The sequence below is a fragment of the Homo sapiens genome, chromosome 18 (assembly GCF_000001405.40).
Source record: "Homo sapiens chromosome 18, GRCh38.p14 Primary Assembly".
Taxonomy (NCBI): domain Eukaryota; kingdom Metazoa; phylum Chordata; class Mammalia; order Primates; family Hominidae; genus Homo; species Homo sapiens.
In genome coordinates, this window is record NC_000018.10 from 9,803,542 (window position 1) to 9,817,110 (window position 13,569).

The following is a 13,569-nucleotide window of genomic DNA, read 5'->3' on the forward strand; positions in this document are numbered from 1 at the left end:
AAAGAGAAAACTGAGTGATGATTGTGTGGGGAGGAGGCAGGCCTGGAGCTTGAAGATAGGGTTTATGCTGTTGAAGTGAGATAAACAGCTGTGGTGAGGGCCATGCCTGCTGAGCTCCTTTAAGGAGAAGCCCCAGGAATCCTTCATTAAGCACTTTACAGCTGAAGAGTTTCATTGATATTTGAAAATTGGTGCTGGAAACTACAAAAGCAAAGTGTGAGCAGAGGTATTGGAGAGGGGCATGAGGGGACCCTGACGGCAGCTGTGCAGGTGGAGCAGGGACTGCCTCGGTCCACAGACGTGGCCCCCAGAACTGTCGTGCCATTTGCGGGGGTTGTGTCCTGTAAGAAAATAGGAATCTAGGTGCAGAACAGCCCTCCTGGGTGTCAGAATGCCAGCGACAGGAGAGAAGGAGGAAGGACATGTTCATATACGAAGATACCTTTCGGGAGTTCTTAGGGAAACACTGTAAACAGCTCTGCCCTGAGCCCGGGAGGTGGCCATGCTGGCAGTGAGGGATGTGGCCTGGGCCGTGGGAACACAGAGGCGGCCAGAGGGGAAAGCCTCAGAGCTGCGTGGACAGGCTTCTTCTGCTTACACACGGGCTTCTGCCCTGCTCTTGCCCCTCGGGGGTTCTTTTGTCACTGGAGACCCTGCTGTTGCCCTTTGCTCTCCAGTGCGTGTCCCCTTCTTCCATATGCCCCCTCCTTGGTGGGGACAGGCTGCTCTGGGAGGTACAGTGACTGCGCTAGATGAACACCTTCCCAGGTCAGGCAATGACATTTTGCTGATGTGTGTTTTAGTCTGGGATGCCCTGAGTAGCTTCTAATTATGAGGCACTGTCTGTGCCTCTTGGGTGGAGGCCAAGTTTCCATTCTGCCAACTCTCAGAGGACGTGGGGCCAAAACACAGAGCCGCTGAGACAGGAGTTTCAGGGGGTCTGGAGGTGGATTTGCCGAGAATCTAAGAAGCACTTCAACTAGTTTTGTTTCCTCTCCTCCCTTCCACTCCCTTTCCCTTCTGTCCTCTTCTTTTCTTTTATGGAGCTAATTTCCTACGTCTGGCTAAAATACAGTAGAAAAGCCCTATAAAGCCTATGAGTGTCACTCTTGAATAGGAAATTAGCAAATAGACTTTGTTTGGTAACAGAAGAACCTGTTCCTGAGGCGCTGACAGCCTGTCCTAACAGAGGCAGCTGGGCTGCAGTGAGCACGGACCTGTGGTAGGAAGACCTCTGCATCCAGAGTGGCCCGGTGGAAGGTGCCAGACTCCCCCTCACTCCAAAAAAAAGAGGAGGCTTTTTGAGGGCAGGGACCTTGTTACCTTCTTCACTTTCTTTTTTTGTTTCCAGTTGTTGCTGTAACAGATTGCCACACGCTCAGTGGCTTAAAACAACACAGATAGACTCCCTTAGAGCTATGAAGGTCAGAAGTCAGAAATGGGTCTCATGCCTGTGGTCCCAGATACTTGGAGGCTGAGATGGGAGGATCACTTGAGCCCAGGAGTTCAAGACCAGCCTGGGCAATATAATGAGACTCCCATCTCTACAAAAAGTTTTTAAAAAATTAGCCAGGTGTGGTGACATGCAGCTGTAGTCCCAGCTACTCAGGAGACCGAGACAGGAGGACCACTTGAGCCCAGGAGGTTGAGGCTGCAGTGAGCCGAGATTGCACCACTGCACTCCAGCCTGGGCAACAGAATGAGACCTTGTCTCAAAACAAAAACAAAAACATAAAAAGATTAAAAAAAAAAAAAGAAATAAGTATCACTGGAATAAGATTAAAATATCTGCAGACCTTAATCCTTCCTGGAGGTACAAGGGCAGAATCTTGTTTCCTTGCCTTTTTCAGAGACCACTCGCATTCCTTGGCTTGTAGCCCCTTCCTTTGTCTTCAGAGCCAGCAGAGTAGCATTTTAAATCTCTCTCCCACTCCCCTGCCTCTCTCTTTCACTGTTGAGGAGCCTTGTGAGGACACTGGGCCCACCCAAGGAATGCAAGATAATGTCCTCATATGAAGGTCAGCTGATGAGCCCTATTCCACCTCCCATGTAACCTAACATAGTCACAGGTGATGGGGATTAGGACATGGACCTCTTTGGGGGACACTATTCTGCCCACCACACTCCAGTTTCTCTGCTGCTCAGAACAGTGCCTGCCACATACTGAGCGTTCAAACAGTGAGATACTGTTTGTTGAATGAATGAATACATTTGATGTAAACCTGTGTCTTAATTATATCAACTGAAGCAACGTTTCATTTCAGAGAAGCAACACAGGAATGGAAAATGCATGGAATTTGGAGTCAAGACCTGTGTTCAAAGTCTTTTCCACCATTTAAGAGCTGTGTGTCGACTGGGCGCAGTGGCTCACGCCTGTAATCCCAGCACTTTGGGAGGCCGAGGCGGGCGGATCACGAGGTCAGGAGATCGGGACCATCCTGGCTAACATGGCGAAACCCCGTCTCTACTAAAAAAATACAAAAAAAGTAGCCAGGTGTGGTGGCAGGCATCTGTAGTCCCAGCTACTCGGGAGGCTGAGGCAGGAGAATGGCGTGAACCCGGGAGGCGGAGCTTGCAGTGAGCCGAGATGGCGCCAGTGCACTCCAGCCTGGGCAACACAGAGAGACTCCGTCTCAAAAAAAAAAAAGAAGAGCTGTGTGTCTTTGGGCAATTCACTTAACCATGCTGAGCCTCAGTTTTCTCATCTGAATAACAGGAACAACTCTGTCTTCTCTCCCTGGTTTCACAGGGTTATTGACTTTTATTACATGCATTCAGTCATTAAATATTTGTCGAGTCCTTGCTATGGTCCAGATAGGGATTCAGGGAAGGGTTCTCAGGGAGGGTGGCAGTTGATTAAAGGTGTGACAGAAGTGAGGGAGGGGCCTTGAGGATGCTGGTGGAGGAGGGTCCAGGCTGCTAGAAGGCGTCAGGGAAGGTGCGGAGGCTCGGTGGGCCTGCCTCTGTGTTTAGGGAGCAGCGAGAAGGCCGGGGCTGGAGACAAGCAGGGGAGGGGCCCAAGAAGGGACCAGGGCGGGCCCAAGAAGGGACCAGGTCCCACCCAAGATGCCACAGAATGGAGCTTGGCTTTTATACTAAGTTTGAAGGATTCTGAACAGGGAAGTGAAACAATTGGATTTATATAGGAAGAAATCAATCACTCTGATGTTCAGTTAACATAAGATGATGTCAAGTATTTGCTTCAAAAGACTCCAGGGGGTAGGAATGGAGCGGGAGGTGAGACGAGGTAGAAAGGAAGCCAGTGGTCCATGTGTTAGTGGTGATCTTGAAGTCAGGGGATGAGAAGATGGAAGTCCATTATTCTAGTCTCTCTTCTTGTGGATATGCTTGAAAATTTCCACAGTGAAAGTTAAAAATAAATACATTCTGTGGTCAGTGTAAATAAATATCATAATCCAGCACTTCAAAACAGGATCTCTCTGGTGGCTGTGTGGCCAGTTTGGAGCTCACTGGATATCTGAAGGCTCTTGTGGAAACTTTGGACGTCCAGTCAAGGCAAGACGAACTTTGCTCGGACAGGAGGGAGGTGCGGCTGCGTGAGAGCTGGGGCTGGGTCTGAAGGCCGTGCTGGCTAGCCTGGGTTGGCACACAGCAAAGTGCAGAGTCTAGGGCTCTAGGCACATGGGGGTAAATGACACCGTATGTTTTTGAGTGCATCTGGTGTGATGGGGCATGTTCGGAGGCCTCCTCAGGGCTGTGCAGCGAAGATACTGTCCCACACAGTGGGCTCTTGTCTTGAACATGGTACGCTTACTGTGACCTTGAGGCTAAGGATGGGAGAGACCAAACCAGCCTGGGCAGAGCGGAGAGAGGGCAAGATGAGACTAACTTTCTGTGATCGTCATGGCCATCCTGGCTTTCCCCGCAAATGCATATCACGGTGGCTGTGTATGATGCGAATAGACATACCTAGGAGTGGGGTGGGGCATAGTTCTGGAGTTTTAGGAAATTCCACTTGTTTGCCAACATGCAGGTACATGAGCTGACGTTCACTGCCCTTGGACGATTTCATGGGTGGGAAAAAATGCATTTCTACAGCATCTTAAATCATTGATTTATTTTTTATACATTATTCTAGGGATTGGAATATTCCAGTTCATTACATTGTCTTTTAAAAAAACACTAATCCAGCGGGGTGCAGTGGCTCATGCCTTTAATTCCAGCACTTTGGGAGGCCAAGGCAAAAAGATCACTTGAGCCTCGGAGTTTCAAACCAGCCTGGGCAACATAGCGTGAACTTGTCTCTATAAAAACTTAAAAAAAAACTTAACCGGATATGGTGGCACACACCTGTAGTCCCAGGTACCTGGGAGGCTGAGATGAGAGGATTACTTGAGCCCAGGAGGTTGAGGCTGCAGTGAGCCGTGGTGGCACCACTGTACTCCATCCTGGACGACAGAGCGAGACCCTGTCCCAGTCAATCAATAAAAGTAATCCATGCCTTCCTCCCAACATCGTTTTTGTGGAAAGATGTTTGGATTTGTGTTGTGTCATTTTCTGCTAAATGAGGCTTGCAGCACATTTGTCAGAAAGGAGTCAGGTGCTCATCAGGTCTCTTCTAAAACCCAGCTTCCTCCTGGTACTGTTGCTTCAACCCTTGGATCCCTGAATGCTGAGAAAGCTTTTTGGCTCTAACAACACATTCAAAGAAAAATGAAAGAAAGGGAAAAAAAGAAAAAGACACCCCCTGTCATTGCAGAAGTAATGTATTATGATATAATAGAAAGGTTTTTTGAATAATTCAGAAACAGCAAAGCAAGTGGTGGTTTGTCTGTACTGCCGTTATTCAGAGAGAACATCTTAACAGTTCGATGTATTGTCTCCCAGTCCCGTTTCATTCAACTCTGCATACACTCGGGTTTTAGGACATCTGAGTAGGCATATTAACTAGGCCTCTGCTTTTCTGTGGAGAGAGAGGGTCTATGTAAAAGTCGGAAGCATTCTTCTGAATGGCACAGAAAGAACATTCAGTAATGTGTTTTTCCATTCAACTTTTGCCAGCTGAGAATGTTGAGAATTTCAGGAATTTTCTTCTACCCCTTCTCTCTTTGTTTGAATCCCAGTGGACCTTGGGCTCTTTTTGGCATCTGCCCTTGACGCTCCCTTATGGTGGCCTTGCACCTGACCTGCCACAGAGCAGCATAGGCGCCCAGGCCGAGCCTGAGCGACTCAACAGGGACAGAGCGTCCTCTGGAAATCATAATACAAAGCCCATCACTCCGAGTTCCTGGACCTGATGCCAGAGCATTCTGGCTTGGATAATTCTCATCTGGGAGGCAGAGCCCAGCTGGAGCTGTGCTTGTTGGGAAACTTCATGTATTTTCCACCACTGCTCATTCCCAACTTGCAGGATTTTGCTGCTGTAGAATTTACGATGCCACAAACCTGCATTTAAGGAATGTTGCCTGAGGCAGAGTAGGTGTTCTAAAGGATTAGGAGATTTCCTGGAATAAGACTTTCCACTGTGCTGCTGAGGGGTGTGTGTGTGTGTGTGCGCGCGCACGCGTGGGTGTGCGAGCACATAAGGCAGTACAGGATGGGAAAACAAGTGTAGTGCACACTACACGGAAGGCGAGAGCCTCCATCCTGAGCCTGTTTTTACCTTGGCCGTGAGCTCTGGAGGGTTGTCACAGAGCTGGAAAAACCTCAGCTTTGTGTCTGACCCCACCCACTGCACCAGTTTCACAAAATAAGAAAAGTAGGATAGAGCCAAGCCAAGCCTCAGGACTCTCTTTGAGTCCAGTTCTCTTCACTTCCCCAAAGGTGATTCTTGATCACGCGAGGTCCCTAGATGTTAATAAATACTACTTGAAAAAAAGATTTTAAAAATGAATGGGAATTCTGAACTAAAACCAAAATAAATAGGTTTCTTTACTGTAGAAAATTTTCAGAGCCTTTAATGCACTAATTATGCTTTGTAAACCTCCAGGGAAGCATGTGGTGTTTCTCAAACTTATTTGGCCAGGAAACCTTTTTTCCTGGCCACCTCCACGTGGCCTGGTGTTCTGCAGAAGACCCTCAGGAAAATACCACACTAGGCTGTCTTGCCTCATGTGCCATTTAATATTTTACAAACACCTAAGTCTAATTGCTGCTGGATATTCCATCATATGGCTAAGCCAAAATTTATGTGTCCATTCTTTAATTGTTAGACATTGAGATTGCTTACAGTTTTTCAGCATCATTGATAATTTTCAAAGGAATTCTGGTTACTTTGTAACCATCTCTGATTATTCCCTTAAGAGGTGGAATTGTCAAATCAAAGTATCTGAACATTTGCAAGATTCTTGAAACACATTGTCCAGCTGCTTTCCAGAAAGGTCATGCTCGTTTATTTTCTACCAGCTGCGGGCAGGGTTAATGTCCATCTGCGAAAGCTGAGCAGCCGGAGAAGCTCCAAGAGCCTGAAGAAGGCCGTTCCCGTCTCCCCTGCCACAGGGACCTCCAGCAATTAGAAAACAAATAATCACACACACTAAGGACATAAACAGCTATTTCTTTTGAGGAGACACACTGGGTTTTCACAGTTCCCTGTGCCGTTTCTAAATAATTGAATGACATCTGAAAAATTTCTCAACATTTTAATTTGGTCTTCTAGATGTTTTGCTGGGTAGTCAGGGAAGAAGGGATTTTGAATTGGCATCTGTTGTGCTAATTTTCAAATAACCTTTCAAGGTAAGATGTAAAAATAAAGCTTTATCAGCCTCTTGTGACTGTGAACTTTATTTCCAGAAGAATCTTTTTATGTGAGCATTCCATCAGTCTTATTTCTGACCCCACAGGAATTGAATTATGTCATGTTGAGGACTGAGGCTGATTGTGGTGCTTTTGCTTTCTATTTGTAAGGGGGAAAAGCATAAACATTGTAGACTAGAAGTGATTTATCTTTTTGTCCTCCACCAAGATCACCCTTTGGTCAATGCATTATTGGGTTTTGGAACTGAGACGTGAACTTCTAACTCATTAAAACCCTCAAGTCCCCAGCAATAAAGTCATTTAAGTGGCTTCACCAACAGAGATTTATTTCAAAGCGATTCCATTTGGAGGAAGGAAAGAATGAGTAATGCATTATATACCAAGATCGCTTCAATAATTCATGAGACCTCCATGCCAGTGACCGTTTTAGATTCAGTTCATGGTGTTTTAGCCTAAAGTGAACTCTCTCTGTCTTAGAAGACACCCGCAGTTTGCTCCTCTTTGAGCTTGAGTCCATGAATATCTTTACTTTTGGGAAATAAAGTTTGTATTGACTGCTACTTTGTGCGTTTACATGAACCACTCTTATATGGAGGCTATTTTGAAAAAAATGGGCATTTTGTATAATTGGGGTAAAAGGATACTTAATCTGCGGTCCTTACCCTTTGAAAAGTAGGAATGTTTAAAAAAAATTATTGCTTTTTCCTTCCTTTGGGCAGGAATTCTGATTTTGTTTTTTAAGTGTAAGGAGTAGATTGCCAAATGGTGGGTTAAAAATAGATTTATGGATGCCTAATAATTATGCCAAACACAGTGTTGGGCCGTCAGTGAGTACGGAAAGGCATGCATGGCAAATGTCGCTGTCCCCAAGTGCGTTCTGGAATGGGGGCAGTGGGTGGCGCCGGCCCTTCAGCATCTTCGGCCACCGCACAGTTCAGCTGTGAACTCCTTGGTTCACCCTGAGCTTCGTCCAACCTTCTCCCTTTTCTGAAACCCGCAGAGGCTCCAGAGTCCTTTCTCTTCAGGATGGAGACCTGCATGGAGGGACTGGAGGCAGGGAGGGTGGCCCACTTCCTTTCCACACTATTGTGAGTGCCTCACCAGCATTCCTCAGTGCAGTAACAGGGAAACCTGGGGACTCAGATTTCCAAATACCATCATTTCAGTTTGGCAAGTATTGATCCAATGATGAGTATCGTGGGAAAGAAAATAATAAGTTAGGGTTTTGTCGCTTGCCAGAAAAGCTTCAGGATCCACTTCTCCTTCCTCCCTGCTCTCTCCCCACTGCCCAATAAAAACAGCTGCTTTGTTCAAAACTTAAAAACCATATTATTTAAAACTCATTGTAAAAATTTATGCTATACAGATGCTTGTAAGGAAAATGTAAAAATCGCTGGAAATCCCACCTGTTAAGATTTAGAGGAACCTCGTGTTATTCCTGCTCACAGAGACATACTCCCACATACATTTTACCCTACATTATATTATCATATAATGATAAATTAACCACATAATAAATGATAAATTATATGCTATATGTGCTGTTTTGAGACTATTTCTCATCTAACAGTATGTCAAAGATCTCTTTTCCTATAAATAAAAATCATCATTTTAATGGCTATAGAATATCATTACATACATATATGTATTAATCTGTGCACAAAATAACATAGACTGGGTGGCTTAAACAACACACGTTGATTTCTTACCATTTGGGAGCTGGGAAGTCCAAGATCAAGGTGCTGGCAGATTCAGTGCCTGTGAGGGCCCCCTTTCTGGTATGCAGATACTCGCCTTCTTGCTGTATCTCACATAGGGGCAGGGCAGGGAGAGAAGGGAGATCTGGTCTCCTTCTCTCCTTATAAGGGACTAATCCCATCTGTGACCTCATCTAACCCTAATTACCTCCTAAGGGCCCCACCTCCTAATACCGCCACGTTGGGAGTTAGGGTTTCAATACATGGATTTTAGGGGAGACACAAACATTCAGTTCATAACATTATACCATGAGTCAATTCCCATTTACTCCCATAAACAGCGCAGGGATGTGTCTTCCTGCGTGTGATGGTCACTCCAGTATATATTCCTCTAAGTGGAATTGCTGGGTCAAATGGGACACACATTTCAACTTTTGATTATATTACCAACAGTTGCTTTGAAAGAAGATATTCAGCACATTCCATGTAGAGTATGTGTGCCTCCCTTCCCAAACCCACACCAACACTGAACAGCACAAATCTTTTTACAATTTAATAATTTATAAGTGTCTCCTTATTTTTATTGGTGTTCTTCCGATTCTAATTGAACATGTTTTAAAATATTTGTTGGCAATGTATATGTCTTCTGTGATTTACCTTTATATATATCTTTGTCCATTTTTCTATTAAGCCATCTTTTTCTTATTGACTTTCAAAACCCCTCCAGGATACTATTTTTTTTTTTTTTTTTTTTTTTTTTGAGATAAAGTCTCACTCTGTCTTCCAGGCAGGAGTGCAGTTTTGCAATCTTAGCTCACTGCAACCTCTGCCTCCCGGGTTCTAGCATTTCTCCTGCCTCAGCCTCCCAAGTAGCTGGGATTACAGGCATCTGCCACCATGCCCAGCTAATTTTTGTATTTTTAGTTGAGACGGGTTTCACCATATTGGCCAGGCTGTTCTCAAACTCCTGACCTCGGGTGATCCTGCCTGCCTCAGCCTCCCAAGTGTTGGGATTACAGGCGTGAGCCACTGCACTCGGCCCCTCCAGGATACTTTTTAATTTAAAAAAATATGCAGATTAAGACTGGACCCTTCTCCAAAATATACATAAAATGTATGCATTCTGAGACTAATGACCTCTCCTGTCTGGGGATGAACGATGCTAGTGACCAGCAGCACTTGCTTTGTTAACATTTTGGAATGGAGCTCCTCTGCTGTCTTGTCATTTGTGGACCTTAGGTAGGTGTGAAGCCCCGCGTTGGAGAGGTGGCAGCCCCTCCAGACCCGAGGCAGCTGCTGCCAAGGTTGCCCTTGCTGACTGGTCCTCATTAATGGCTCAGCAAGGGTCCTGTGATCTTTGCCAGTGTTCCCTTTCCCTCTCCTTGCCATACATCTTTCCTTTACTGCCGCATAATTCTAATGAGATTACCCTGGGTCAGTCAGTTATATTAGAGAAATGATGAGCAGCAGGGAAAAGAAAATTCACAAGATGGTAACATTTAAAATAAAATTTGTTTTTGGCCTTTACCCAACAGTAGATTTCATGGTCAATAAACCACAAGCATACATATGTGTTGATGAGGAGGAAGATTTATTATTTCATATGAACTCTGGGGCCGGGTGCGGTAGCTCACACCTGTAATACCAGCACTTTGGGAGGCTGAGGCAGGTGGACCACCTGAGGTCAGGAGTTTGAGACCAGCCTGGCCAGCATGGTGAAACTCTGTCTCTAATAAAAATGCAAAAATGATCCAGATGTGGTGGTGCATGCCTGTAATCCTGGCTACTCAGGAAGCCAAGGCATGAGAATCGCTTGAACCTAGGAGGTGGAGGTTGCAGTGAGCCAAGATTATGCCATTGCACTCTAGCCTGGGTGAAAAGAGTGAAACTCCATCTCAAAAAAATAAAATAAAATAAATAAATAATATGAACCATGGAAAAATTATATAGGGAAGGAATTTAGGGATCCTGTAAGGATGATGTAGGATAAAACGTTTATGTTTAATTTGGGATTGAATAAAGTCTGTTCACTTTGGCCTAAAACTGTTCATTGTTCTTAAACAGTTTCATTCATTGGCTCCCATGTACTATCGAGGCTCAGCTGCAGCTGTTATCGTGTATGATATTACCAAGCAGGTAAGAATGTCTCCTTCAGAATTTAGATGTCATTTATGGTGGTTCTCTCACTTAGAGAGACTGGAGCAGAGACGTCACTGCTTGCATCTTGCCAGTAGCGTGCCACTATATATTGAGTTTATTTCATGTATATGTAACAAAGCATCCCATATTTATCTGCTAAATTAAACAATAATGACCATTCATTCTTAAAATTGACTGTAGAGGCAAAGTCATGCCTGCTAGTACTATTCTGCAGAATGTCAGCTTTTAAAGAAAAGGAAAATCATTTTTAATTTCTGCATGCTTTATAATTACAGAATACTTATTTTTGTTACTGTTTCAATCATACTACATACTTAAAATGCCAAGCATAACATTCGTGTGTATGTAAGTAAATCTTTGTGTGTGTATATATAAGTATATTTTTAGTTATCACGTTGAAGGTCTTAGACTTCCATCAACAAATAACCGCAGTAGTTTGATGACATTTTTTCCCACTCCTGCAAACTGAATTATTTACTTTTTTTTCTCTGGAGTGTTGACTCAGCACATAAGACTGTTAGTTTAATGACCCATCACTGTTACTTTCCACGAGTTCCTGACCACTTCTACCTAAATGTGGTGTGTTGCCCTTGGCCTGTTTTCTAGAGGACAATTGTGAGTGAAGGGCCAACAGGAAGACAGGACTCTAAATATATATGTTTCTTCCTTGGTGTAAGCATGAGCATTTACTTAGTCCTGTTATTCTTATTCATGTGGAGTCCAGGCTATCATTTTAAATTAATGTTATTTATAGGAGAAAAATCACTGATATGATTTTCTTAACTAGATCAAGTTTTAATTTTAGAAAACTTGATATGGTCTATTTAAGTATATTTCAGCTAACATTAACTTTTGTGCCTAGACAGAGGTAGTATGTTAATCTGCATGAGTCTCCTAAAAATATTTTTCTCCATTAAATTGTACTGGGCTTGTATTTCTGCTTAGTTGAAATATTATATTGAGGGGTCTTTCTAATGATTTGTGTACACTGTTGGTTTAGGATTCATTTTATACCTTGAAGAAATGGGTCAAGGAGCTGAAAGAACATGGTCCAGAAAACATTGTAATGGCCATCGCTGGAAACAAGTGCGACCTCTCAGATATTAGGTAAGATGCATTGAAATCTCTTTTGTGTAGATACTGTCCTCCATCCCTGAGTGTCATCCGTGTAGATACTGTCCTCCATCCCTGAGTGTCATCCGTGTAGATGCTGTCCTCCATCCCTGAGTGTCATCCGTGTAGATGCTGTCCTCCATCCCTGAGTGTCATGCGTGTAGATGCTGTCCTCCATCCCTGAGTGTCATCCGTGTAGATGCTGTCCTCCATCCCTGAGTGTCATCCGTGTAGATGCTGTCCTCCATCCCTGAGTGTCATCCGTGTAGATGCTGTCCTCCATCCCTGAGTGTCATGCGTGTAGATGCTGTCCTCCATCCCTGAGTGTCATCCGTGTAGATGCTGTCCTCCATCCCTGAGTGTCATCCGTGTAGATGCTGTCCTCCATCCCTGAGTGTCATCCGTGTAGATGCTGTCCTCCATCCCTGAGTGTCATCCGTGTAGATGCTGTCCTCCATCCCTGAGTGTCATCCGTGTAGATGCTGTCCTCCATCCCTGAGTGTCATCCGTGTAGATGCTGTCCTCCATCCCTGAGTGTCATCCGTGTAGATGCTGTCCTCCATCCCTGAGTGTCATCCGTGTAGATGCTGTCCTCCATCCCTGAGTGTCATCCGTGGAGATGCTGTCCTCCATCCCTGAGTGTCATCCGTGTAGATGCTGTCCTCCATCCCTGAGTGTCATCCGTGTAGATGCTGTCCTCCATCCCTGAGTGTCATCCGTGTAGATGCTGTCCTCCATCCCTGAGTGTCATCCGTGTAGATGCTGTCCTCCATCCCTGAGTGTCATCCGTGGAGATGCTGTCCTCCATCCCTGAGTGTCATCCGTGTAGATGCTGTCCTCCATCCCTGAGTGTCATCCGTGTAGATGCTGTCCTCCATCCCTGAGTGTCATCCGTGTAGATGCTGTCCTCCATCCCTGAGTGTCATCCCTGAGTGTACAAAGGTATCATGCCTTTGTTATGTCTGCCCTCAGTGTAGTAACTTAATTAATGGCCTTTCACTTTTGGTAGTCAATGTGGCATTGATTCAACCAGAGAAGAAATAAGAGAAAATGATAGGGAAATACAGATCTGATGTACCATACAATGATAAATGTTCAAATTATAACTCCTGTACATAACACAGTTACATCCCTGACTCTACATATCTTTGGGCTAGATGGTTTTGTTATTTCTGTTGTTACTTTTTCCATTATTATTTTCATTATGACTACTAGCACAATTTTACTAACACTTTCCTATGGTAATGACCATTAGAATTCTTAATATTTTTCATAGCATACCTGTTTGTTTTGGTTCTAGATTTTATCTTAAGGATATAGTCAAGTACATAATCTCACTATTTAGTTCTAAAATCAGAATACGACACATTGTATGTGAGTACCTTGACTTTCCCCAGTGGTATTGGGTTATTGAACTTCTTATATCTTGAAGGAGGTTGTGAGGATCCAGTACACATGAATTAGAGATTTGATGATAGCTTTACCTAGCCTGGTAAGCTAGCTGTTTTGCTAAATAAATACATTATTTAAAAAAGGAAATAGCGAATTTGTGGTATCTCCATTCCCTTGGTTAATTTAATTCTCAGGAATTCTAGTCGTTGATTTTCATAAAGACAACTACATCATGCTTCTGGTTTTGCTAATCAAAGTGTGATTAAACCAAAGAGGAATAAATAATGGATGGAAGTGGATCTTGCAAAAGCTCTTAACATAGCATTTAACGAACTGTTCTGTTTCTTTAGGATTTCAAAAGTTTGCATCAACTTGCATCTGGTTGGTTTATAATAACAGCCATAAACACCACTTTTCTGGGATTTGGACAAATCTTCAAACTTCCCAGACTTAGTTATCTCCCTTCGTTACTGTAATCCTCAAACAGCTT

At 44.1% G+C, this 13,569-nt stretch overlaps 1 protein-coding gene across 1 annotated transcript in view, besides 1 other annotated feature; it reads left to right on the forward strand.

Moving 5' to 3' along the window:
• The window catches only part of RAB31 (RAB31, member RAS oncogene family), a 154,251-nt gene that overhangs the window by 95,241 nt on the left and 45,441 nt on the right, over positions 1 to 13,569 (forward strand). The window contains exons 4-5 of the mRNA NM_006868.4: positions 10,479 to 10,550; positions 11,575 to 11,681. Of these exons, the coding sequence (NP_006859.2) occupies positions 10,479 to 10,550; positions 11,575 to 11,681 (179 nt within the window). The remainder of the gene's footprint in view (positions 1 to 10,478; positions 10,551 to 11,574; positions 11,682 to 13,569) is intronic.
• Positions 5,373 to 6,023: an enhancer, noted in NCBI's record as "H3K27ac-H3K4me1 hESC enhancer chr18:9808911-9809561 (GRCh37/hg19 assembly coordinates)". NCBI's record gives its function as "activates a minimal SCP1, AML or CMV promoter by ChIP-STARR-seq in naive H9 embryonic stem cells {active_cell/tissue: H9 hESC(naive)}" and the evidence as "EXISTENCE:reporter gene assay evidence [ECO:0000049][PMID:30033119]".